General features: G+C 41.5%; 2 protein-coding genes across 10 annotated transcripts in view, besides 3 other annotated features; one reads left to right on the top strand and one right to left on the bottom strand.

The window, feature by feature from the left end:
* Nucleotides 1–4,690, bottom strand: part of XPC (XPC complex subunit, DNA damage recognition and repair factor) — a 33,455-nt gene extending 28,765 nt beyond the window's left edge. For 8 of the 9 annotated variants that reach the window (NR_148951.2, NR_148950.2, NM_001354726.2 and 5 more), the window contains exon 1: nt 4,555–4,690. Coding sequence is in view for 6 of the 9 variants with exons in the window: in NM_001354730.2 (NP_001341659.1) it covers nt 4,555–4,657 (103 nt within the window). In the remaining 3 variants the exon portion in view is untranslated. The remainder of the gene's footprint in view (nt 1–4,554) is intronic. The other variant, NM_001354729.2, reaches the window with a different exon arrangement.
* Nucleotides 4,330–4,449: a silencer, noted in NCBI's record as "silent region_14090". NCBI's record gives its function as "represses an Ori minimal core promoter by ATAC-STARR-seq in GM12878 lymphoblastoid cells {active_cell/tissue: GM12878}" and the evidence as "EXISTENCE:reporter gene assay evidence [ECO:0000049][PMID:35858748]".
* Nucleotides 4,500–4,849: an enhancer, noted in NCBI's record as "active region_19500". NCBI's record gives its function as "activates an Ori minimal core promoter by ATAC-STARR-seq in GM12878 lymphoblastoid cells {active_cell/tissue: GM12878}" and the evidence as "EXISTENCE:reporter gene assay evidence [ECO:0000049][PMID:35858748]".
* LSM3 (LSM3 homolog, U6 small nuclear RNA and mRNA degradation associated) lies at nt 4,906–27,211 on the top strand. Its single transcript, NM_014463.3, has 4 exons — nt 4,906–4,970; nt 7,649–7,759; nt 10,026–10,121; nt 24,125–27,211. Exons 1-4 carry the CDS (start codon nt 4,950–4,952, stop codon nt 24,203–24,205), a joined length of 309 nt encoding a protein of 102 aa, NP_055278.1. The 5' UTR covers nt 4,906–4,949; the 3' UTR covers nt 24,206–27,211.
* Nucleotides 4,950–4,999: an enhancer, noted in NCBI's record as "active region_19501". NCBI's record gives its function as "activates an Ori minimal core promoter by ATAC-STARR-seq in GM12878 lymphoblastoid cells {active_cell/tissue: GM12878}" and the evidence as "EXISTENCE:reporter gene assay evidence [ECO:0000049][PMID:35858748]".
* Nucleotides 27,212–27,251: the final 40 nt, after the last annotated feature.

Raw genomic sequence — 27,251 nt, forward strand, 5'->3', positions numbered from 1 at the left:
TTTTATTGAGGTTCCAAAAGGGATTGCAATATTAACCTAAAATATAAAATTATTTAATAATTCAGTCTTTTCATTGTTTGTCTTGCTGACTCTCTGGATGGGTATTTATATTCCACAAGAATATACTTTTGCATGAGGGAAAAAAGACTCTCCCTTCTGATCTAAATGAAATCATGATTAAATGTTAATAAAATTCATAACAAAGGAGCATTTATTTTAATGTTAGATCATTGATTCCGTTGTTTCTTTAAATGTTTTATAAAAAAGGAATTTATGCATTCCCATTTTTAAACATTGTATGGAAACCAAAAAATAAGGAAAAATTTTGAAGTACAAATTATTTCAAAATTAATTTTTTCAAATCTGAGAACAGATTGCCTACTCCAAGGCCAGAGGTTGCATAAAGCTTAAGATTTGACAGTTTGAGGAGGGTGCCCCTAAAATCAAGATTTCTGGATCTTACAATGGTAGTTAGCCCTCTAATAATAGGCAAAGATGCTAAACACTTCAATTTCTACTAATCTAAAAAAATGCACGTAGGAGGATACTTCAGAGGCATCACAAACTTTTCTAGTTGGTTAAAAAGCACAGCTTTTATTTCCGTTTGAAGAGAAAGGTAGAGGAGTTAAAAGGGAAAGGGGGATAAAGGAAACACAAAAACTCTGAATCAAAAGGATGTTCATAGTATTCAAAAGCATCTAACAATAATCTGAATGTCCAACCATGAGATAATTGTTAAGTAACTTATGGCAGAGCCACACAACAAAATATAATTGAGTCATCCTTTAAGATAAAGAAAAACGATATATGATGTAATGTTACTCATGCAAAGTTGATTTTACAGTATGCTTTCTGCTATATAAAAAACAGACTAGAAGGAAACAGACCACTATTTCATGGTGGCTATTTCTGGATGGCAGAAATATGGGTGACTTTCTGTTCTCTGCTATTTTTTGGTCCCTAAGCATCTAGAGACTCTTTTCCAGGACTCTCCAAAATCTTGAGTTATCTAATATGCCTAACCAGACTCCTTGAGTTCAGTGTTCTTTCAGTAGGGCAGGAATTACCACTGTGGTCTGCTTGCCCATCTACTGGGATTTAATAAGAACACCGGAGTAAACCTTCCAGCAGCAACTCATAGCACTCAGAATAAAATTCCAACTCCTTAGCTTGGTATCCAAGCTCAGGCCCTTGCTCACTTCTCCTACCCAGCCCCTCGCTCGCTGTGTCCAGCCAACTGGCCAAGTTCATTCCCTCCTAAGAGTGTTTAAACACACTGTTCTCTCTGCCTAGAACTCTTTTCCCCAGAACTTCCTATGAATGGCTCAAAATTACACTAAATGCCTCAAAATGCCACCTCCTTACAAAGGCCTTCCCTGACACTGATTCCCATTTAGCTGCCTCTCCCCCAGCCCCATATAAGTTTGAGGGTTTTTCTTTTCATCTATAGAAGCATTTTCTGCTATGTACCCAAATAAGTTTTATCACAGCAGTCTTAGCACAGGGTGATAGCTCTTATCATCATGTGAATCCGTTTTTTTTTAACTTGTTATCTGCTCTAAGTACCCCTCCCCCCAGATTATAATCATGAGAGCAGGTGCCTCATCTGTCTTGTTCAATATTATCCTAGTACCTGGAACAGTGTGTGAAAATAGTAGGCGCTCAATAAACAGCTGTTGAAGGAATTAATGGATATCACTGAAGGTGTTAACACAGAGAAGAAATGAAAAGAAACCAGAGGTGCTTTAGTAACACAAAGGAAATCATGTGGAAGCCTGTTTTCTTTTCTCCTATTTGTCAAAAGCAGCCAAGTATCACCTTCATTTGCATGTACAGGGGTGCTATTAAAACCTACACTATTACAGTGTTAGCAACTACACTGACAGTCACCAAATTATTGTCATCTGCAGCCCAAACCATACTTGCTAAGTCTATGCTTCCCCACAAAACCACCAAACCACAACAAAGGTTGTAACTCTGCAGATCCTGGAAGCTGCCTTGGGAACTGACTGCTAGCTCCTCTGGCTAGCAGAATAAACTTGGGTGCATCTTTACCTCCGTTTAGGCTGAATGACACCAGCTAGCCCAACTAATTTACCTAACATGGGTAAAGCTAAAGCTCTTGGCTTTATATGCTATCCCACTGAAAACTCACAGCCACCCCGCAAGGCAGTTATTACATTTCACAGAGGAAATTCAGAAGGGCTAAAACATTTGTCCAAAATAATTCACCCAAGTGCATAAAACTAAGAATTGAAGCTCTACCAAGCTGGAACCGAGGTGAAGTGTTGAGCTGGGAAGAATACAGGTAGCATTTCCATCAGATTAAAACCGTAAATTTTTAATTGCCATATATCCAAATTACATTCTGACTAGAATACCGGCCCCTTTTTGTGACCCCTTGCTAAAATACCAACCATCCTTTAAATCACAGATCAAACTACTTCAGAGAGCGTTCCCCGATCACGCCAGTCAAACTTGATTAATCCTTTGGAAGCTACAAAGCCTTGTACCTTCTTCCACAATATTTAGCACACTTTGCCTTGAATGTTTTACATGTAAATGTCATGTCAACACTACTCTATGATCCTCCAAGATATGTTTATCTCTCATGTCACCTCATTCATGTACAGCACATAGTAGATACTCAAAAGATGTTATTTGAATGAGTAAATGAGTGAATAAAATGGAACTCGTAATATTACATATGAGGTAAATCACCTCCTAAGTTTACGAATTATTACCATTTCACTATTTCCTAATGGATGATGAATTTATAACCGGTATAGAAACAGAATCTAGTGTGATAGCCTTTGCCGGTTACCTAGTCTAATCTACCCAGTTTTTTCAGGAGACCCAGAAATTCCTTCTACAGCCTGCATTTTGCAATTATTTAAAATATTTACTAGCCGGGCGCAGTGGCTCATGCCTGTAATCCCAACACTTCGGGAGGCCGAGGCAAACGGATCACCTGAGGTCAGGAGTTTGAGACCAGCCTGGCCAACATGGCGAAACCCCATCTATACAAAAATACAAAAATTAGCCGGACATGGTGTCAGGCACCTGTAACACCAGCTACTCGGGAGGCTGAGGCAGGAGAATCACTTGAACCTAGGAGGCGGAGGTCACGCCACTGCACTCCAGCCTCAGCGACAGAGTGAGACACTGTCTCGAAAAAAATAAAAAATAAATAAAATATTTATTTAGCATTTAGCCCTACCAATCCACGGGCCCTGCATCCACAGATTCAACCAACCACAGATGAATATATTTCGGGAAAAAAAATACAAATTTAAAAAATACAGCATGACAACTATTTCCATAGTATCCACATTGTATTAGGTATTATTAGTGATCTAGAGATGATTTAAAGTATGTCGGAGGATGTGCATAGGTTACATGGAAACACTAGGCCATTTGATATAAGGTACTTGAGCATCACAGGTTTTAGTATCCGCGGGGTATCTGGGAAGGACCACCTTAGTTTGCTCAAGGAATGTCTAACTTGAGTTTTGAAGAAATAGAAAAAATCAGCCCTGGTAAAAGCCATGGGGGGTTCACTCTAGGCAGAAGGAACATCAAAGGAAAAGACTCAAGGAATAACTTGGCATATTTGAGGAAGAGAAAGGAGGCCAATAAGGAGGGTATCTGGCAAGGAAACAAGTGGTAAGAGAAACAGGAGAGGTAGCAAGAGCCAAAACATGTAGTATCTTGTAGGCCAGGATAAAACAACTGGATTTTAAGCTAAGAGCAATGGAAAACCAAGGGGAGTTTAAAGCAGGAGCAGGGCATGATTTTTTTTTTTTTTAAGATTATTTGGGTTGCTGGATGCAGAGCTGGGAGGCCAGTAAAGAGGAAACTGCAGTCACTCAACTGAAAGGTGATGATGACTTGGACAGGGGCTGTGGTCATGGAAATGAAGAGAAGTGGACAAATTTGAAATACACTCTTGAGGCTGAACTGACTGGACTTGCTGACGGACTGGATGTGTGGACATAAGAAAAAGGTGGGCTTTGCTTTATAACAAGTATTGAGACTGGAAAAACGGAGGAAAGCATAGATTTAAAGAGGAAAACCATGAGTTCTGCATTGCCCATGACAAATGTAAGAAGCCTATCAAATATCCATGAGGGGAAGTCAGGTGGGATCCCACTGTGGAACTCTGGGTGAGACTCAGCTGAAGTTATCATTCGGGAGTCAGCACACTGCATCACTCTACGTCCTGGTCCGTCCGTCTGTCTTCCTGGGACACAAATAACTGCCTTCTCCGAGTTCAACCCTGAACATCTGTATCCTCTGGACAACGGGGAGCGGGAAAAAAGCTACGCAGGAGCTTGGATCGGGCGAAGCTCGCGGGAAACCGCTCTGGGTGCGCAGGACAAAGACGCGGGGACAGCGGGGAGGGCCGGCCGCAGCCTGCCGGGCTGCCCCCACGGCGCGGAACGCGCGCAGCAACCTCCACCAGGCCTCCGCGTCTGGACTCCCGCCCTGCCTCTGGGCCTCCTCCGCCCACCGGCGGCGTCTCCCGCGAAGCCCGCTGGGCCTCGCTCTCACCCTCCTCCTCCTCCTCACGCCGGGCCTTGCTCTTGGCCTTGGATTTCTGGCTGCGCAGTTCGCGTCCCCGCGGCTCCCCGCCGGCCGCGCGTTTCCGAGCCATGTTGCTTGTCTGGGCAAATTCCACTTCGCGAGTGACGCACCCGGCCGCGATGCGCTAGAACGCCGGCCCCGCCCCGAGGCGGTGCGCTTGGCCACGCCCCTTCGTTGGAGGCCTAGTCACGCCCCTAAAGGAAGCTCCACCCCATACCCGTGGCCACTAAAAAACTGCGGGAAGCAGGAAAGAGCACAACAGGTTTCTCTCTATTTCCGGTGTATTGTATCCTCACGTTTCCGGAGATTGACGTTGCTCTTGTGTTCTCGCGAGAGGCGGGAAAGGGCGCAGGGTTTGAAACATGGCGGACGACGTAGACCAGGTAAGTGTATTTTAAGGAGGTCGCTCGAAGGAGCTTCTTGTACTAGGCTGCTTTTTCCAGACTCAGGAAAAATGGCCAGTCGTGCCTCCTCTCTCCAAGTCACCATGGCCTAATCCACCCTGTCCTTTCCGTAACCCCCCCTCCGAATTTTGCCGTAGGCCCTGAGACCTTTTCCTGTTAGAAGCCCACCTGATGACTATTCTCACACTCTTCGCTTCATTTTTTTAAATCTGTAGATTATTATCCTTAGCTACCTCATGGAGCTGTCAGGATTCCAATAGAAAGCCAGGTAATAAAGTTAGGAGTTGTTATCATTAGTGAGCGCAACAATTATTTATTCATTCAGCAGATAGAGTGAACATCAGCTTTGTATGGTTAGGCACTGTTCTAAGGGCCAGGGACACTGACATCGACATATAAGAGATCCTTGCCATTACTTGGAGCTTATATTTGCGAGGAGAACAGATAAAAGTAAATATAAATATGTAAGACTTCCAGGAACTGTGATGTGCTGTGAAGGAAACAAGGAACTGGTATGCAGAATAACAGATGGTCCTAGAAGCTTTTTCACCTGGTCTTTTTCTTCCTCAAATATCTTTGGAGATCATGCCACAACTTAAACTTTCTACTGAAATCTGACCTCCTCAGAGAGGACTTCTGCCCAAATAGCACTCCCGCTACTCTGGTTACCCTGCCTCATTTTTCTTCATAGAGAGTTATTTTTTCATATTAAATGTATGCATCTTTGTTTAATGTGAATCTCTCCCCACTAGAATGTAAATGCCATAAGAGCAGGGATTTTGTTTTGTTCATTCTTTTGTCTTTGGGGTTTAGAACAGTGCTGGAAACACTCAAAAAATATTTGAGTGAATGAGTTAGATGATCAGAGGAAGCCTCTTTGAGAAGCCAATATTTAAAGCTACAGGATGAAAAGAGCAGACAGTGGGCATCCCAGACAGAGGCTTAGGTAGCAGTAGGGCTTTTTCATGTGCATATTCTTACAGTATTATAATTATTTGTATGCCTCTCCACAGTAGAATGAGCTCCTTGAGGGTGGGGATTGTGACTTCTCTATCATTGTAATCTAACAGTTGGTTATCTGATCCTTTAACAAACACTTGTTGAACTGAGGGACATAGGGACCAGTTGAGTTAGGTTATTTTTTTCTCTCATCAGGCCTTTTGAATCTTCAGAGCCTGTTACCAATTCAGTTACCTTCCTCCACTGGCCTTGTGTACTTACTGAAGAAGCTCTCCTTGAATAATCTTTCTAACTCTTAGCGGCTGCAACCATCCCTTCCATGTGGGTGACCCCAAGTCATCCTAGCCCTGACCTCTAAAACCAATGTTTCCAGCAGTTCTGTAATAATATAATATTAATAGGAATCTTTTCTTTTCCTTTTTTTTTCTATTCTTTTCTTTTTTTTGGATGGAGTCTCACTCTATCGCCCAGGCTGGAGTGCAGTGGCGTGATCTCAGCTCACTGCAACCTCTGCCTCCTGGGTTCAAGTGATTCTCCTGTCTCAGCCTCCCAAGTAGCTGGGACTACAGGTGCGTGCCGCCACACCTGGCTAATTTTTGTATTTTTCGTAGAGATGGGGTTTCACCATGTTGGCCAGGCTGGTCTCAAACTCCTAACCTCAGGTGATCTGCCTTTCTCAGCCGCCCAAAGTGCTGGGATTCAAGCGTGAGCCACCACGCCCGGCCAATAGGAACCATTTCTAAATATTAATATTTTCTGTTTTCCTGGCACTGTTTTTAAATGCATTAACTAGTTTAATCCTCATAAGAACCCAGAAAGAAGGTTGTGGCTTTCTCAATTACAAATGAAGAATCTGAGAATTACAGATGGCATGATTTTTAATCTCAGTTCATAAATGTCAGGTCACAGCCAGGAGTTGAACCCGGACTGCCTGACTCCAAAGCCAGTGCTTGCTTGCCTTTTTTTTTTTTTTTTTTTTTTTTTTTTTTTTTTTTAAAAAAAAAAAAGACAAGAGTCTCACTCTGTTGCCCAAGCTGGAGTGCAGTGGCACGATCTTGGCTCACTGCAACCTCCACCTCGCCAGGCTCAAGCAATCCTCCCACCTCAGCCCTTGGAGTAGCTGGGACTACAGGCATGTGCCACCATGCCCGGCTAAGCCAGTGCTTTCAACCAGTGTTCTATACTGGCTACTAAATATATTTATCTTATTCACCAGTTGGCAGCCTAAACTCAACCTGTGCTGAATTCATAATCTTCCCATAAACCTACACCTCTATTTGGCATTCTGACTAGTGTATGGTAGGCATTAAGTGAGTGTTTTTCCAATGATTACATAATATTTGAGATAAAGCTAAAGTCCCTGAGACCCTATGCCCTGAAATTGGGTCAGGCAGTTTGGATTTTGAGGGAACAAAGTATAGTCATGATTATTTTGCTGTGTAACTTCTCATGTATGTGTGTTTTAACCTACATTTATATAGCACGTATTATGTGAAAAGCTCTGTTCTAAGCCTTCATGTATATCACTTAAGCCTCACAAAAACAGTATTAGGTAGACACTATTATCTCCATTTTACAGATTAGGAGACTGAGGCAGAAAAAGGTTAAATAACTTGCCCATGGTCACACAGCATAGCAGTGATTTAAGCACTACTCTGACTCTAGTACTACATTACTAATCCTGTTTCTTTTATCAGCAACAAACTACCAACACTGTAGAGGAGCCCCTGGATCTTATCAGGCTCAGCCTAGATGAGCGAATTTATGTGAAAATGAGAAATGACCGAGAGCTTCGAGGCAGATTACATGTAAGTAAATTTATCAAGTTACCTTGAAATCAGATTCCTTCCTACCCCCACTCCCTTGAAATGTAAAACCTGTCCAGAGTGAAAGGGTATTTTGAAGGAAGAGAGGGTGGTGGAAAGTCACCCATATCACATAAGCCAAATAAAGCGGCATGTATTCACATTTTTAACATTTTTTCTTTTAATAGAAATACGTTTATTATAGAACATTTTTATTCCCTTCATTTTTCCCTTCTGTTTATTTGTAAATAATATTTACTTGTCCTCCATTCGTAAATGTTTTTTAAATTTAAAACACAAATATGTGTTTTATTAGGAAAAGTTAAACAGCACAAAAATATATAGAGTAAAAAGTGAAATCCCATTTCTTCTACTGGTAATCACTACTAAAAATGGGATTATCTTGGCCAGGTGCAGTGGCTCATTCCTGTAATCTCAGCACTTTGGGAGACTGGGGCAGGAGGATCACTTGAGGCCAGGAGTTCTCTGTGTTGCCAGCCTGGGCAACATAGAGAGACCCTGTCTCTACAAAAAATAAAATTTAAAAATTGGGTTACCTTTTCTGTATGTTTACACATATACACTCATATATGTACATGTGCACATACTTGCATTATGTACACCCTACCTCTACAAAACATGGATCTTGCCATACATGTTTTTCAGTACCTTTTTTTTTTTTCACTTAATCTTTCTTGGAAATTGATCATGAGTGCATTTAATTTTCGTTTATTCTTTTTAATGACTACCTAGGATTCTGTATATGATAGTGATCGATTTTTTTTCATTTCTTGCTACAAATACGTAAATACTTGCAGTAAGCATTTTTTTACATATTTCTTTGTGCATATCTGCAAAATATCTGTAGAATTGGTCCCTTGAAATAATCCCATTTGTTCATAGAGAACCCTGAAGGTTTTGCCTCTCCTTAATGACTTGTTACTTTCCTAAGTGTGTTGTTTTTAGTATTGCTACTCTACCCTAAAGTGATTAAAAATAGCTAACATTTATTGAGCATTAATTATAGACCAGGTACTATTATTCTAAGCATTTTGTGTGTGATATCTCATTTAATCTTTATAACAACCCTATGATGATACATACTAATTATTCCTGCTTTGCAGTGTAGGAAGCTCAGGCTCAGAAAGGTACAGTCACTTGACGGTAAAGGGAGAGCCAGAATTTGAATCTAGGTTGTCTGACCTGAGCCCCACTCTTAAGTACTGTGGTTCCGCCTTCCACAAAACCTAAAGATAAAGAACCTCTGGGCTTGGAAAGGAAATAGGGACCCAGGGAGACAATCTACAGCTGGCCTTAAAGGAAGAGAGACTCCAGGAAAGGAATGGTGGTAACTTTGGGAATACAAATGGAATTGAGTTTAATTACTTAAGTTTGTGGCTCTTGGAGGCTTCTTCAGTTCCCTGTGTAAACTTGATGGTCTCTATCCTAAATGGCCCCAACTTTCTGTTTGTTTTGTGCCTCTCAGCTATACATGTTTGATCTTGTTAGTGTGCCCTGCTTAGCAGTTCCCCACATGGCTGACAAGTGACTTTTATTTTGATGTGAGCAGGTGAACCATGTAACACGTTGTTAGAAGTAAACTTGAGTTCTGAACAAGGTCCCAGAAAGTGCACCTTTTAGTAAAATGAATGAACTTTGGAGCTTGGATTGAATATCTTAGCTGTAACATTTATTGATTGAGCCCACAGGTACTAAACACATTTAAGTTCTGGATAGGTTAGAAATGGGCAGGGTGTTGCTCTACTTACTTTCTCTCTGCGACATGTGGTCTACTGTGTGCCTTTAGAAGACTGCAATGGCATTATCTTACCAGTAAACAAAGGATTTTATCTTCTTTACTGTATTTTTCTTGTCAGATTGTTATAGGTGAAATTGAAGGATGTCTACTGATAAATGATGAAGATGAATCTGCTGTTTTTCATAATTAAATATTATAAATGATGTGACTGCCTTAGATAACAAGTGGGGTGGAGACTTTAAAAATAATTTCAAGTGATTTGAAGTAAATTTATTTTTGGCAATATAAGCAGTTTTATATTTTTATCAGGTCAATTAAGTAATCATTGGAAGTGACTTGTGAAGAAACAGTATATTAGTACTGTAGGATTACTTTTTATTTGCATGTAAAAGTTTGTGATGTAAGTATCAAATGCCCTAGTTGTAATTGAGCAATTTGCATATTGTTAAGCCTTTATCATTTTTGTAATTTGATTATTAAATTTCTTGGTTCTGTACCCTCCCACTTTAGGCTTATGATCAACATTTAAATATGATCTTGGGAGATGTGGAAGAAACTGTGACTACTATAGAAATTGATGAAGAAACATATGAAGAGATATATAAAGTAAGTCATGCAATTCTATTCATTGCTTTGCAAATATCAGCTGTTCTCTCTCGAACAGCTTAACCCATATTTATGGGAAGCCTGTCATGTTTTGACACCTACTTATGGACTCAGTAGAGCATAGCAATTAAAAGCAAGGGTTCTGGCATCTGACAGACCCTGTTGCCAGTACTGGCTTGACCACTTCCTACTTGGGCTACCTTGGGCAAGGGAATTAAGTTAGCTGAGTTCTCATTGGTGAGCAGGAATACTACCACTTACCTCATAGGGTTCCCAGATTCAGTGAGATACAACAATGCAAGGTGGCTATGTATAATAGTGTGTAACAGTAATAGTGGACAGTGTTCTTTCGTTTTCTGTGGATTTGATCTATTAATACTTAATTTATTAGAAACTGAAACTGAAAAATTTTTTAAATATTTATTCATTAAAAAAACCTGGGCCGGGCGCGGTGGCTCACGCCTGTAATCCCAGCACTTTGGGAGGCCGAGGCGGGCGGATCACGAGGTCAGGAGATCGAGACCATCCCGGCTAAAAAAACGGTGAAACCCCGTCTCTACTAAAAATACAAAAAATTAGCCGGGCGTAGTGGCGGGCGCCTGTAGTCCCAGCTACTTGGGAGGCTGAGGCAGGAGAATGGCGTGAACCCGGGAGGCGGAGCTTGCAGTGAGCCGAGATCCCGCCACTGCACTCCAGCCTGGGCGACAGAGCGAGACTCCGTCTCAAAAAAAAAAAAAACCTGGCCAGGCATGGTGGCTCACACCTGTAATCCTAGCACTTTGGGAGGCTGAGGCAGGTGGATCACCTGAGGTCAGGAGTTCGAGACCAGCCTGACCAATATGGTGAAGCCCTGTCTCTGCTAAAAATACAAAAAATTAGCTGGGTGTGGTGGCATATATCTATAATCCCAGCTACTTGGGAGGCTGAGGCAGGAGAACTGCTTGAATCTTGGAGGCGGAGGTTGCAGTGAGCTGAGATTGTGCCATTGCCCTCCAGCCTTGTCAACAAGAGTGAAACGCTGTCTCAAAAAAAAAAAGGCTGGGTGCAGTGGCTCATGCCTGCAATCCCACCACTTTGGGAGGCCAAAGCGGGTGGATCACCTGAGGTCAGGAGTTCGAGACCACCCTGGCCAACATGGCAAAACCCTGTCTCTACTAAAAATACAAAATATTAGCCGGCCGTGGCGGCAGGCACTGGCAATCCCAGCTACTCGGGAGGCTGAGGCAGGAGAATCACTTGAACCTGGGAGGTAGAGGTTGCGGTAAGCTGAGATCGTGCTACTGTACTCCAGCCTGGGGGACAGAGTAAGACTCTGTCTCAAAACAAAACAAAACAAAACAAAAAAAAACCTATCACGTGTTACTGTAAGTAACATTTTTATGAACAATAACTATTTTCTAAAACAAAATTTTAATGAGGAATGTCTTTGTTTTACATTTTTGCAAATCTCTTTAATGCCCCGCTTAATCGATAACAGCTAGAAGATTCTCATATCTTTTTTCTGCGTTAAATCTATCATGAGTTGTTGTTGTAATTGAAGCAAATCTGACCACACAGATAGGTAGTTGGAAAGGAAGGAGTTTGTTTTGTGAATGTTCTACCTTTGATACTACACCCAAACTGAACAAGTGGTAGTCAGTCAAAGATTATTTGCCATCTGGAATCTGAAACGGTAACAGTAAACTTTTCGTACTCTTGTTAGGTGAAAATTCATTAATCTGCCTTGCACCTCAAATGGATCTCTTACTCATGCATGATTTGGTTACATCAGGCACTGGTTCTTTAGAAAATAGTAGTTCACTGGGCTATGCAGATTCATTTTATTTCTTCAGTGTTTAAAAAAAATCACATTTATTAGTTATCACCAGTGATCTTGTCAGAAAGGTCTTTTTTTTTTTTTAAAGACAGTCTGACTGTGTCACCCAGGCTGGAGTGCAATGTCAGTCTCAGCTCACTGCAGCCTCCGCCTCCCAGGTTCAAGCAATTCTCGTGCCTCAGCCTCCAAAGTAGCTGGGATTACAGGCATGTGCCACCACGCCCAGCTAATTTTTGTGTTTTTAGTAAAGACAGGTTTCACCATGTTGGCCAGGCTGGTCTCGAACTCCTGGCCTCCCAAAGTGCTGGAATTACAGGTGGGAGCCACTATGCCAGGCCGTAGCAGAAAGAAAGGTCTTTAAGATTTGGAAAGACAGTTTCTGACCCTGCCAGGGCATAGTGGTTAAAATGTGGGCTCAGAGTACAAGACTACATGGATTCAAATTTTGACTCCCTTGCTTACCACCTTTTTAATTGAGCCAGCTCACCTAACCTGTCTGTGGATATGTTTCCTTGTCTGTAAAATGGGAGTAATGATAGGACCCACTTCATACAACTGTGGAGGATTCATTGAGGGCTACATGAAAAGCCTTCAGATAGTGACAGGCACGTTGTCACTGTTAAACTGTTAGCCTTCACTGGATTTTGTAGTTCTGCTTTATCCTGGCTTTCCTCCTCTCTCTGACCACACCTGACTCCTTTGCTAGTGTTCTTTCTCCTTCTGAGTGTAAACATTTAGCATTTTTTTCTTTTTTTAAAATTTTTACTTATTTATTTATGTATTTTTGCTGGCTTATTTCTCCAAGAAAGAATAGCATTTTTTAAAATCTGCATTTTTTCCCCTTTAGGAATTTCATTTATTAACTATTGTTTAGTGGTTATTGTTTTCTTAACATGGACACAATCATAAGTACTAAGATGCACTTTTTCTTAAATTTTAGCATCTTAAAAATCTGATTGCATCTTACAGGTGATGTGATAAAAAAAGAATTGTGTCATAGTTTAATTGGCAAAATTTATCCTTTTTCAGCTCAACTAAGCTTACAAATGATACCTTAAATGTGATAAAATATGGAATATGTGGCTTTAATATTCTGCTTTATTCATGTAACATCATTAACATAAGAATTTTACCATGAGAGTAGACTCTTCATAAGCATTTTAATGCTCTTGTCTTGAATTCTGCTTGTGACAGAAATGACTCTTCAACTGTGGTGTCTATTACAGAGAAGGGAACACTGCCACTTACTCCATGTTTGCAGTGAACTAACAGCAGGGTCCACCTGTGTCATCCCTAGTAGTCTGCTCCAAGTGCGGTTCCTCCTGACACTGTTTGAAGGTGCTATGTGTCTGTGCACATGTGCATTTCTCTGGGTGGGGTGTCTGTAACAGAGTCTCAGTAGTTACTGACCTCCATTAAGATTAATTGCTGCCTTGAAAGGCTACTGGGGCTGGTTAGCTCCTGAACGCTGCGTGCTGCGTGCATGTGGCCTCTCTTGCGCCTAGAGTTGCAGCTGAGAACAGTAAGCAAAGTCTATTTAGTTAATGAGTTCTTTTTCACATTGCCATGATGTATTGGGTAAAACATTTAAAATTGAATCTTTGGATGACTGAGAATACTTTAGTGTGTAAATGTGTATTAACTATAGACATAGAAAGCAAAGACAGTGATATTATAGAGAGTGTCTGCATCTGGTTCAGTGCCATGGAGAACAACTACTTCACTCTCCTGTGCGCTCTTGTTACTCCTCTCCAAGATGGGAAACCAGACTAAATGGTTTCTTACCTTGGCCCATTTTACATTTCGCTCTCTCTCTCGTCTATTGAAATAACTAATGAACATCAACGTTTTACCACCAAAACAGTATGGGGGACCCATAAACCATCAGGTTGTTGGGTTTTTTTCCCCCTATAACTTACATAATTGACTTCTAAATAATTAATTTGGCTGCTGACTTATAAATGGGAAGGTGGAAAGCAGTCAGTCTTACTCTTCTGATTCTTGGTCCTCCATAATTGGAGTTTCCATTTTACAGATTGTGAACAGTCTGTGTTATTTGACCCAGACTACTTTTTCGGCTGTCCATCATGTGTACTACCTTCCTTCACCAAACACCTCGTAGTTTGGCTCACCAGACAGTTTCTCTTGGGGACGTTGTGCCCTTTTGTAACTAAGCCCTCTGCTCCCTCTGCTTGCCCGAAGGCCTTCTACAGCATCAGATGGCTCTTCTAGACCTTTCTGTAGATTAGCACTGTAATAATAGAACTGTCTGCAGCAGTGAAAATTTCTATCTATGCTGTCATTACAGGAGCTATGAGCCACATGTGGCTATTTGGCACTTCAAATGGATGCTGGTGTGATTAAGGAACTGCACATTTAATTTTATTTAATTTTAATTTAATGAGCCACCTGTGACTAGTGGCACTCATATTAGAGCAGCTCTAGACCTGCTCCCTCATACATAACTAACTCTTTATGGTCCATGCTGAGACCATATGGTCCATATCACCGTATAGTACTTAACACATATTTCTTTTCTTACTCATTTTAAATTGCTTCCATTTTAATTTAACTTTTTGAATAGATACTAGACTCACACAGTCTTAAAATTACAAAATGCAGAAAGGAACACAGTGCAGTAAAATGTCTTCCACTCCAGCCTCTGTTCATCATCTTTACACCCCACCCCCAGACATAAGCACTATTACTGGTTTCTTGAGAATCTTCTCGTGTCTTTATGCATATGCTAATGAGTGTTAGTTATTCTCCCTTCCCCTGTTTTTTTATCACAGTGCTCTTTCCCTTTCATACATAGCTTCCTTGTGCTTTCGTTTTTAGCTTTATGGTACTTCACTGTGTAGATGTACCATAATTTAACTGTTTTCCTGTTGATGGACAGATAGCCATTTCCAATATTTTGCTAGTAAAACCTATTCTGCTGTAAATAATTTTATCTTTATCTTTTTTTTTAATTATACTTTAAGTTCTGGATTACATGTGCATAACGTGCAGTTTTGTTACAAAGGTATACACGTGCCCTGGTGGTTTGCTGCACCCATCAACCCGTCACCTACATTATTTCTCCTAATGTTATCCCTCCCCTAGCCTCCCAGCCCCCGACAGGCCCTGGTGTGTGATGTTCCCCTCCCTGTGCCCATGTGTTCTCATTGTTCAACTCTCACTTATGAGTGAGAACATGGGGTGTTTGGTTTTCTGATCTTGTGATATTTTGCTGAGAATGATGGTTTCCAGCTTCATCCATGTCCCTGCAAAGGACATGAACTCCTCCTTTTTTATAGCTGCACAGTATTCCATGGTGTATATGTGCCACATTGTCTTAATCCAGTCTATCATTGATGCACATTTGGGTTGGTTCCAAGTCTTTGCTATTGTGAATAGTGCCGCAATAAACATACATATGTATGTGTCTTTATAGTAGCATGATTTATAATCCTTTGGGTATATGCCCAGTAATGGGATTCCTGGGTCAAATAGTATTTCCAGTTCTAGATCCTTGAGGAATCACCACACTGTCTTCCACAATGGTTGAAATAATTTTCACTCCCACCAACAGTGTAAAAGCATTTCAGTTTTTCCACAACCTCTCCAGCATCTGTTGTTTCCTGGCTTTTTAATGATCGCCATTCTAACTGGCATGAGATGGTATCTCATTGTGGCTTTGATTTGCATTTCTCTAATGACAGTGATGATGAGCTTTTTTTCATATGTCTTTTGGCTGCATAAATGTCTTCTTTTGAGAAGTGTCTCTTCATATCCTTTGCCCATTTTTTGATGGGGTTGTTTTTTTTCTTGTAGATGTGTTTAAGTCCTTTGTAGATTCTGGATATTAGCCTTTTGTCAGATGGATGGATTGTAAAAATTTTCTCCCATTCTGTAGGTTGCCTGTTCACTCATGATAGTTTCTTTTGCTGTGCAGAAGATCTTTAGTTTAATTAGATCCCATTTGTCAATTTTGGCTTTTGTTGCCATTGCTTTTGGTGTTTTAGACATGAAGTCTTTGCCCATGCCTATGTCCTGAATGGTATTGCCCGGGTTTTCTTCTAGGATGTTTATGGTCCTAGGTCTTACATTTAAGTCTTTGATCCATCTTGAGTTGATTTTTGTAAAAGGTGTAAGGAAGGGATCCAGTTTCAGTTTTCTGCATATAGCTAGCCAGTTTTCCCAACACCATTTATTAAATAGGGAATCTTTTCCCCATTGCTTGTGTGCATCAGGTTTGTCAAAGATCAGGTGGTTGTGGCTGTGTGGTGTTATTTCTGAGGCCTCCATTTTGTTCCATTGGTCTATATATCTGTTTTGGTACCAGTACCATGCTGTTTTGGTTACTGTAGCCTTGTAGTATAGTTTGAAGTCAAGTAGTATGATGCCTCCAGCTTTGTTCTTGCCCAGGATTGCCTTGGCTATGCAGGCTCTTTTTGGTTTCATATGAAGTTTAAAGTAGTTTTTTTCAATTCTGTGAAGAAAGTCAGTGGTAGGTTGATGGGGATAGCATTAAATCTATAAATTACTTTGGGCAGTATGGCCATTTTCATGATATTGATTCTTCCTATCCATGAGCATGGAATCTTTTTCCATTTGTTTGTGTCCTGTCTTAGTTCCTTGAGCAGTGGTTTGTAGTTCTCCTTGAAGAGGTTCTTCACATCCCTTATAAGTTGTATTCCTAGGTATTTTATTCTCTTAGTAGCAATTGTGAATGGGAGTTCACTCATAATTTGGCTATTTGTCTGTTATTTATGTATAGGAATGCTTGTGATTTTTGCACATTGATTTTGTATCCTGAGACTTCGCTGAAGTTGCCTATCAGCTTAAGGAGGTTTTGGGCTGAGACGATGGGGTTTTCTAAATATACAATCATGTCATCTGCAAACAGAAAATTTGACTTCCTCTCTTCCTATTTGAATACCCTTTATTGCTTTCTCTTGCCTGATTGCCCTGGCCAGAATTTCCAATACTATGTTGAATAGGAGTGGTGAGAGGGCATCCCTGTCTTGTGCCGGTTTTCAGAGGGAATGTTTCCAGGTTTTGCCCATTCAGTATGATATTGGCTGCGGGTTTGTCATAAATAGTTCTTATTATTTTGAGATATGTTTCATTGATACCTAGTTTATTGAGAGTTTTTAGCATGAAGGGGTGTTGAATTTTATCGAAGGCCTTTTCTGCATCTACTGGCATAATCATGTGGTTTTTGTGATTGGTCCTGTTTATGTGATGGGTTACATTGATTTGCATATGTTGAACCAGCCTTGCATCCCAGGGATGAAGCTGACTTGATCGTGGTGGATCAGCTTTTTGAGGTGCTGCTGGGTTCAGCTTGCCAGTATTTTATTGAGGATTTTTGCATCGGTGTTCATCAGGGATATTGGCCTGAAATTTTCTTTTTTTGTTGTGTCTCTGCCAGATTTTGGTATCAGGATGATGCTGGCCTCATAAAATGAGTTAGGGAGGATTCCCTCTTTTTCTATTGTTTGGAATAGTTTTAGAAGGAATGGTGCCAGCTTCTCTTTGTACCTCTGGTAGAATTCAGCTGTGAATCTGTCTGGTCCTGGACTTTTTTTGGTTGGTAGGCTATTAATTACTGCCTCAATTTCAGAATTTGTATTGGTCTGTTCAGGGATTCGACTTCTTCCTGGCTTAGACTTGGGAGGGTGTATGTGTCCAGGAATTTATCCATTTCTTCTAGAGGTCCTAGTTTATTTGCGTAGAGATGTTTATATTATTCTCTGATGGTAGTTTGTATTTCTGTGGGATCAGTGGTGACATCCCCTATATCATTTTTTATTGCGTCTATTTGATTCTTCTCTCCTTTCTTCTTTATTAGTCTGGCTAGCAGTCTATTTTGTTGATTTTTTTCAAAGAACCACCTCCTGGATTCATTGATTATTTTTTTAGGGTTTTTCGTGTCTCTATCTCCTTCAGTTCTGGTCTGATCTTGGTTATTTCATGTCTTCTTCTAGCTTTTGATTTGTTTGCTGTTGCTTCTCTAGTTATTTTAATTTTGATGTTAGGGTGTCAATTTTAGATCTTTCCTGCTTTCTCTTGTGGGCATTTAGTGCTATAAATTTTCCTCTAAACACTGCTTTAAATGTGTCCCAGAGATTCTGGTACGTTGTGTCTTCATTCTCATTGGTTTCAAAGAACATCTTTATTTCTGCCTTCATTTCATTATTTACCCAGTAGTCATTCAGGAGCAGGTTGTTCAGTTTCCATGTATTTGTGCGGTTTTGAGTGAGTTTCTTAATCCTGAGTTCTAATTTGATTGCAATGTGGTCTGAGAGACAGTTTGTTATGATTTCTGTTCTTTTACATTTGCTGAGGAGTGTTTTACTTCCAATTATGTGGTCAATTTTAGAATAAGTGTGATGTGGTGCTGAGAAGAATGTGTATTCTGTTGATTTGGGGTGGAGAGTTCTGTAGAGGTCTGTTAGGTCTGCTTGGTCCAGAGCTGAGCTCAAATCCTGAATATCCTTGTTAATTTTCTGTCTCGTTGATCTGTCTGATATTGACAGTGGGGTGTTAAAGTCTCCCGCAATTATTGTGTGGGAGTCTAAGTCTCTTTATAGGTCTCTAAGAACTTGTTTTATGAATCTGGATGCTCCTGTATTGGGTGCATATATATTTAGGATAGTTAGCTCTTCTTGCTGCATTGTTCCCTTTACCATGTAATGCCCTTGTTTGTCTCTTTTGACCTTTGTTGGTTTAAAGTCTGTTTTATTACAGATTAGAATTGCAACTCCTGCTTTTTTTGCTTTCCATTCACTTGGTAAATATTCCTCCATCCCTTTATTTTGTGCCTATGTGTGTGTTTGCATGTGAGATGGGTCTCCTGAATACAGCACACTGATGGGTCTTGACTCTATCCAGTTTGCCAGTCTGTTTCTTTTAATTGGGGGCATTTAGCCCGTTTACATTTAAGGTTAATAGTGTTATGTGTGAATTTGATCCTGCCATTATGATGCTAGCTGGTTGTTTTGCCCATTAGTTAATGCAGTTTCTTCATAGTGTCAATGTTATTTACAATGTGGTATGTTTTTGCAGTGGCTGGTATTGGTTGTTCCTTTCCATGTTTAGTGCTTCTTTCAGGAGCTCTTGTGAGGCAGGCCTGGTGGTGACAAAATCCCTCAGCATTTGCTTGTCTGTAAAGGATTTTATTTATCCTTCGCTTATGAAGCTTAGTTTGGCTGGTTATGAAACTCTGGGTTGATAATTCTTTTTTTCAAGAACGTTGAATATTGGTTCCCACTCTCTTCTGGCTTGTAGGGTTTCTGCAGAGAGATCTGCTGTTACTCTGATGGGCTTCCCTTTGTGGGTAACCCGACCTTTCTGTCTGGCTGCCCTTAACGTTTTTTCCTTCATTTCAACCTCGGTGAATCTGATGATTATGTGTCTTGGGGTTGTTCTTCTTGAGGAGTATCTTTGTGGTGTTCTCTGTATTTCCTGAATTTGAATGTTGGCCTGTCTTACTAGGTTGGGGAAGTTCTCCTGGATAATATCCTGAAGAGTGTTTTCCAACTTGGTTCCATTCTCTCCGTCACTTTGAGGTACACCAATCAAATGTAGATTTGTTCTTTTCACATAGTCCCATATTTCTTGGAGGCTTTGTTTGTTCCTTTTATTCTTTTTTCTCTAATCTTGTCTTCTGTCTTTATTTCATTAAGTTGATCTTCAATCACTGATGTCCTTTCTTCCACTTGATTGATTCAGCTATTGATACTTGTTTATTCTTTGCGAAGTTCTTGTGCTATGTTTTTCAGCTCCATCAGGCCATTTATGTTTTTCTCTACATTGGTTATTCTAGTTAACAATTTGACTAACCTTTTTTCAAGGTTCTTAGCTTCCTTGCATTGAGTTAGAACATGCTCATTTAGCTCGGAGTTGTTTGTTATTACCCACCTTCTGAAGCCTACTTTTTTCAGTTCATCAGACTCATTCTCCGTCTAGCTTTGTTCCCTTGCTGGCGAGGAGTTGTGATCCTTTGGAGGAGGAGAGGCGTTCGTGTTTTTGGAATTTTCAGCCTTTTTGTGCTGGTTTTTCCCCCATCTTTGTGGATTTATCTACCTCTAGTCTTTGATGTTGGTGACTTTCAGATGGAGTCTTTGAGTAGATGTGCTAATCCTTTTTAGCACATCTGTGTTTGTTTCTTTCCTTCCAACAGTCAGGCCCCTCTGCTGCCAGTCTGCTGGAGTTTCCTGACCCAGTTTGTGTGGATATCACCAGCGGAGGCTGCAGAGCAGCAAAGATTGCTGCCTGTTTTTTCCTCTGGAATCTTCAACCCAGAGGGGCACCTGCCAGATGCCAGCCAGAGCTCTTCTGTATGAGGTGTCTGTCGGCCCCAACTGGGAGCTGACAGTCATTATACACGGGGGTCAGGGACCCACTTGAGGAGGCAGACTGACCCTTAGCAGAGCTCGAACGCTGTGCTGGGAGGTCCGCTGCTGTCTTCAGAGCCGTCAGGCAGAGACGTTTAAGTCTGCTATAAGCCCCTGACTGGGGCTGCTGCCTTTTTTACAGAGATGCCCTGTCCAGAGAGGAGAAATCTCAGTTTTATCTTTTTCTTATGTGGGAGTATACCTGCAGAATAAATTCATACTTTCTCTCTTTTTATTTCTAGAATGGGGATTCTAGGAGGACAGTCCATGTTTTATTCATCTCTCTGCGTCTACTGCCCATCATAATACCTGACACATAATGGGCACTCTAAATGTTTGTATGAGTGAACTTCAGATTTCATTGCAGGTTGACTCAATAATTTTTAAACAGAAGATTCTATTTCATTACAAGGACTGCAGATCCAAGCCTTGTCACCTATCAGACACACATGCACACTTAAAAAAAAAAATTCTGGGTGAAATTCATCACCATTACTAGAAAATTTAATACTTTTCTCTGATATTGAGTTTATAGCATCCTTTTTTTTTTTTTTTTTTTTTTTTTTTAAACCTAGAGCACTTAAGTTTACACACTGAACTCCTTGTACTAGAGTCGCCTTCTTTCTCAGGAATTATTTATCTGTAGCCAGATCTCCTGCCTGGGTGTTATGACCAGACAGCCCAGGGGAGATTCCTCACACATGGGTTGTTGAAAGTATACTCTGGTGGGCATATTAGTTCGTGTTGGCTAGACTGTGGTAACAGGTACCCCCTAAACATGTACTGGCTCAGCAGTCACAGATGTGCAGTGGTTCTGCACTGCTGGAGTTTGTTTCTCAATGACGTAATTATTCTACGTAGGTTTCCTCCATGCAGTCATTCAGGAACCCAGACTCCTTGTGTCTTCTGGCTCCACCAACCCCTAAGTCTTTTGTCGTCATTTCACATCCAGCCAGTGGGAACAAAAAGGAGTAGAGGAGTGTACATGAGAAGTTTATGAATCAGCCTGGAGGTACTACACCTCTTCTTAAATTTTTTAGGCTAGAACTCAGTGATATGACCCTAGCCAACTGTAAGGGAGCCTGGGAAATATAGTAGAATTGTGTGCCCAGGAAGGAAGAAGGAATTTTTATGAACAGCTAGCAGTTTCTGCCATAGTCTGCTCCCCCCCACCCACACTGGCAACCAGTGTCTGTATATACCTGTGAGCAAAGGGCTTTAAAAAAAAAATTATTTATGGAAAAATGACCATGGGTTAACTTACCAGTTCATTTTCCCTAGAAACAGATAAAATTGGAATGTCAGCTGTGTTAATAAAAAATATTGCTGTATTTTAAAAAGAGGCCCCTGGTTTGTAAACTGCATCTGAACTGAGAGAACTGTGAATGAGCTCTGAATACTGTTAGGAGCCCATAGCAATGGTCTTCCCTGAGAGCATGCAACCCTTGTAGTGGAGTGTGCCCCCTCCTTGGTGACTGTAAAGCCACATTCATGGAACTGTTGTAAACGATACTGGTTCTGGTGTGGAGCTTGGCGCAGTTAAGCCAGGGTGGCTCCTGCACCCACCTGCTAACTAAGCAGTCATTTGGGTAGCTAGGGAAGAATCCTTGGAATGCTGTAAAGACTTCTGAGACACTTGCCACTGCCCAGCTGGCATGTGCTGTGTTTCCTTTGTATAAAGCTGTGTGCCCTTGGCTATCTTGAGCTTTGTGAGTTTTTTTTTTTTTTTTTCTTTGAGACGGAGTCTCACTCTGTCACCCAGGCTGGAGTGCAGTGGCGCAATCTTGGCTCACTGCAAGCTCCGCCTCCCAGGTTCACGCCATTCTCCTGCCTCAGCCTCCCAAGTAGCTGGGACTACAGGTGCCCGCCACCACACCTGGCTAATTTTTTTTTTTATATTTTTAGTAGAGACGGGGTTTCACCGTGTTAGCCAGGATGGTCTTGATCTCCTGACCTCATGATCCACCTGCCTCATCCTCCTAAAGTGCCGGATTACAGGTGTGAACCACCGTGCCTGGCCGAGTTTTGTGAGTTTGATGGCCAAGTTGCTGCAGAGATCAACGATAGTGGGTGTTGCAGAATCCTACTTCCCAGACAGAACCATCTGTACCCCCAAAGGATGCAAGCAGGATATCCAGCTCAGGGTGCAGGACTGCCACGTGACTTTCGGTTTTCTCCGTCAGACCACATGTGGTCACTTGTACAGAAACCTATCCCCAAAGAAGATGAATAATTTACCCCTCCCACATTTATGATAAACACAGCAGGGACAGGATATCCACCACAAAAACTCTCTTCCCAGAGAAGGAAGGAATGAGAAACATAAGACAGTTACTGGTCCCTAACAGTGGTGAATCCCACTGGGAAGGCATGAATGCTCCCTGTCCTGGTAGCAGCAGAAATCCCTCAATTAGATCAAATATGTCCCATCCAATGTTTGGAACTTATACTAAATTTAATTGTGCGTCCTACATCTTTATTTGCAAAATCTGGCAACCCTAAATGGGGTCCGCAGAGCTTTCAGGGCCAACTTCTATTATGCTGGAAGACGCAAATAGTCAAAGGTTTTTTTTGGCCAGGCTTATGGTTTCTTTGGCAATGCAATTTCTTTAAAAACTTAGAACATAGGTTTCTGAGCTGTTTACATCCAAACAATTCAAAGGGCCAGTAACCTGTCTAAGCTCTTCCCTAGGCATAGTTTCTAGGACTGCTTTATTTCTTCAGTTTCTCACCCCTGTTCTGCTTTCTGAAATTAATGTTGACTACTTTGAGGCCATTTGCTACAAAAGTTTGGGTGGAAAGACAACACCCTTAATCTGATCTTTGCCTCAGGGCTGAGTTTGTTTACCTGGGAAATTTTGCTGGGCCTTGTTTCTCAAAGCCTTTTTTCATACTTATTTCTGTAACTTGGGGTCTAAAAGCCAGTGGCTTTTCTAACCCTGTGAATCCTGTTTCTTTTCATCTCTGCTTGAAAACCAACTAGTTCTTGCCTGAGCTTTTCTGTTTCTTCTACTGCCCTGCTAAATACATTAGGCTAACAGCAACATCTACTAACATTTGGCTTTTCCAGCCTCTTCTCCCAGAGCTCGTGAGTTTAGGAGCCCCTTGGGCTACATTCCAAGTTTTATCTAATATTTTGCCAAGGCATAATATTAGGATTTCGAACATTCATGTGTTTCTTTACTGCCCAAGGCCTGACCACTAAGCTCATGCTTCAAGGTATCCATTCCATATGTGTGACCACAGTAGCACCCAGAAGTAACACATAATGGCTCAGCAAAGTAGAAGTTGATCTCTTGCCCATATGACAGCCCTGGTGGGGTTTAGATCTGCACAATAGCTTTCTTCCAGGTGGCAAGTCAAGGACCCAGGCTTCACCTATCAGTGGCTCTGCCATCCCCTGAGCTCTCGCCATTATCTTAGTTCATTTAGTGTTAGAGGAACGACTGCAGAGGGGCATTCTGGGTCAGTCTGGATATAGTCCTGTCATTTCTGTTTACTTGCCATTGGTTAAAGCAATCCGATGGCTACATCTGGTTGCAAGGAAGAATAAGAAACATAGTCCAGCTGTGTGCCCAGGAGGAGAAGAGTGAGTTTTAATGGGTAGCTCCAGTCTCTGCCACAATTGTCGAAAGGAAGCAGTTGATGGATTGGTTCTTGGTGCTACCAAGGGAAGTGATCAGGTTTTTTAATCCAATTTTTTTGTGTCATGATGAATCCATTTTTTAACATTTCTGTCACAAACAATAAGCAGTAATACACAGTTGTACAAATATGTTCTGTTTTTTTTTCTCTTCTAGTCAACGAAACGGAATATTCCAATGCTCTTTGTCCGGGGAGATGGCGTTGTCCTGGTTGCCCCTCCACTGAGAGTTGGCTGAAACAAAGAATTTGTCCTGTATGGAAAACGGGAGACTTTGTACAGTGGCCTCTCTAAAAGTACAAAACATTCATAAGAGAAACCTGCATACATTTTGATATTAAGAAATAATTCCGGGGATTCTTCCACTCCTGAAATGAGTTGATTTGCAGATAACTCACAACTTCTTAAGCTAAATGGTATTTTCATTTTTCTCAAGCTCTCCAATAAATATGACCACCAAGATGCAGAACTCTTTCAGGACTTCTTTTGCTCCATTATTCTCACAGATACTTACTGATTTTTCTTTTCTTTAAATTGGTGTTTCCTTGTAGATTTTTTTAAGTGCGGTCTTCTGTCTTGTGAATTATTTAAAGTAAGCATGTCTTACCTTCACTTAGCACACATTTGCAGTGCACCTACTGTGTTTGAGGCACCAGGTTTGAGTGCTGGGAACCAGAGTTTTATCAAAATGCTTTCTGGGCCAGACATGGTGGCTCATGCCTGTAATCCCAGCACTTTGGGAGGCCAAGGTGGGTGGATCACCTGAGGTCAGGCGTTTGAGACCAGCCTGGCCAACATGGTGAAACCCTTTCTCTACTGAAAATATAAAAATTAGCCAGGCGTGGTGGCGCATACTTGTAATCCCAGCTACTCAGGAGGCTGAGGCAGTAGACGCTTGAACCCAGGAGGCAGAGGTTGCAGTGAGCCAAGATCACACCATTGCACTTCAACCTGGTCAACAGAGCGAGACTCCGTGTCAAAAAAAAAAAAAAAAAAGTTTTCTGCCCTCAAGTCTTCTGGGGAGGCAGATGTTTAAACCAACAATTGCAGGCAGTAAGATTAGTGCTGATAGAATCATGCACATGCAGGATGCCATAGGAGCATGGGGAAGAGCACCCAAATATGGGAGAAAGGGGCAGAGGGACATTGTAAACATCAACCCTGCAGTAGAAGACAGAGCAAAGCATGATTTCTCTTTTCTCTGGCCTGATTTAATTCTAAGGTCAGACGTTCAGCTTGATCATAACCTGTTTATAATTATGACTCAGACCATTTTTCCACTCTTGGATCATTGGCCATTAATGATGAGGGGTCTCAAACAACATGTCTCAGTGACACAGTAAAGCAGAAATTGGCTGAAAGCAAAGCTGTTTTTATTTCTAGCTTCAGTCAGCACATAATGCTTAAAACCTAAAGAGGAAAGTAAAAGCGTGTTACAATCTCTCAAACTTTATCAAGACAGGGCTTAGAACCTGACATCCTCCGCTATGGTCATTCCATTTTGAAATGTAGAAAATCCAACTTGTGGATGGTTTGTCTGTAAATGAGCTGAATGTGTGTGCGTGTTCATTATCAAGCACGATATGCTCACAAATGCACAGTACTTTAAGCCTTGTGCAAGAAAGATGCTTTCAGTAAACATATTTAAAAGGTTTTATTTTCCTTACTAATGGTACATGCCCCTGCAAGTTCATGGAGAAGAGAAAAACAAGTGTGGGTGAGCTGATGGAGGCTTCATCTTAGGTGAGGAGGCAGGAGAGACACCCTCCCTTCACTTGTGCCATCCCCACGCTTTGTCCTTAAGCTGTAGTGGTCCCAGGAGATAACCTGTTTACAGCAGCCCATTCAGTATTGAAAAATGAACTCCCTCCTGCAGAATGTTAGAAGAAACAACCTCAAAGACCTCAGGCCGCCTGTGGTCATTAGTATGTGGCAGCAAGATTGAACCTGCCTGCCTCCTACCTGTGTGAGCCTGTGGTGTGGGTGTGGTACCAAGGCCCTGGCTCTGGGCAGTCTGTTGGCTCCTGGTGTTCACTAAGGCGTGGGGTGACAGGCCATCTGGCCTCGCTCTGCCAGTCTGCAGTTCTCCCCAGCACTGCATTCATTTTTAGTGGTTTCTGATAGTCACACTGAATTCCTGGACACTTTCTTCTCTTCATTCTTAGTTATCTTTCTCCTTTTTCTCCTGGAACTGATAGTTTACACTAAAACTTTTGGCTGTGAGGACTTGATTATACACATTTCTAAAACCCATGAACCTTAATATCTGACACTGTTACTCTCATATGCACACACAACTAAAACATACCAACCTACTTCATTTCCTAGCTGCTAAGATACAAGGGGAGGGACAATAAAAGGTTAACTGCAGAATAGCCACCTATGTGTCAGGAAATGGAGGGAGGGGAGGCAATGTGTGAGTCCTTTTGGAGCTGGGACTCAATCCACAACAGAGACAGCTCAAGCAGGGCCCTGCCATGGTCCACACTGAGGTTTCCTCTGCAGTGGTGCTGTCCACTGAGGGGTTATGGTGTGAGGGCCCCTGGGAGCCACGCCTTGGACTTCTGAGTCTGCAGAGCACTCGGCTCCAGCCAGCTGGATGGCAGGTGGTCAGTGGAGCTGGTGACTGGTGGTTTCTGCAATGAGGTGTCAGATTAGCCTAAGGGAAGCCTCTTCAGCAAGTATCATGCCTGGATCCCGGTCTTGGTTGTTTTATGAGAGGCCGATATGAATTGCCATTGCCTCCCACAAAGAAAAATGGACAAAATATGGGACCACATCTTTGAGATGAAATGTGCCCAAAATGAAAAGTAACTTGAGTATCCCAAGTTAAACTTAATCATTAGCTGCAAATGGACGATTTTCAAATTTCAAATAGTGATTTTTGAAGATTTGCCCAAACTAGAGTACTATCCCTCTTCACACTAAGAGGCAGAAAGTGGTTTCACACACCCTTTTATTTAATCAGCTAAAGTGGGTGCGGTGACACACACCTGTAAACTCAACCACTAAGGAGACTGAGGCGGGAGGATTACTTGAGCCCAGGAGTTCGAGATCAGCCTGAGCAACATAACAAGACCCTGTCTCAAATAATACTTAGCTATTACCCATATTGCTTTTAGCCTGCTGCCAGGAGGGGAGAAATGTTATTGTTTGAACAGATGTCAGATGTGAGTAATGCTCAGCTGTGTTCAATGTAGAAAATTAATAAAAGTTCCAGGAGTCATCCTGGCTAGATCAAGAAGCACAGTTGATGTTTCTCTGTCACTCAGCTCTGCTGAACT

This window comes from Homo sapiens, chromosome 3, assembly GCF_000001405.40.
Source record: "Homo sapiens chromosome 3, GRCh38.p14 Primary Assembly".
NCBI classification, from domain to species: domain Eukaryota; kingdom Metazoa; phylum Chordata; class Mammalia; order Primates; family Hominidae; genus Homo; species Homo sapiens.

Bases quoted from the DNA above. Each gene is read 5' to 3' on its own strand.
- LSM3 (NM_014463.3), top strand. From the start codon at position 4,950: ATGGCGGACGACGTAGACCAG. The intron at 7,760-10,025 runs GTAAGTAAATTT...CTCCCACTTTAG, and splicing joins AGCTTCGAGGCAGATTACAT to GCTTATGATCAACATTTAAA. The intron at 10,122-24,124 runs GTAAGTCATGCA...TTTCTCTTCTAG, and splicing joins CATATGAAGAGATATATAAA to TCAACGAAACGGAATATTCC.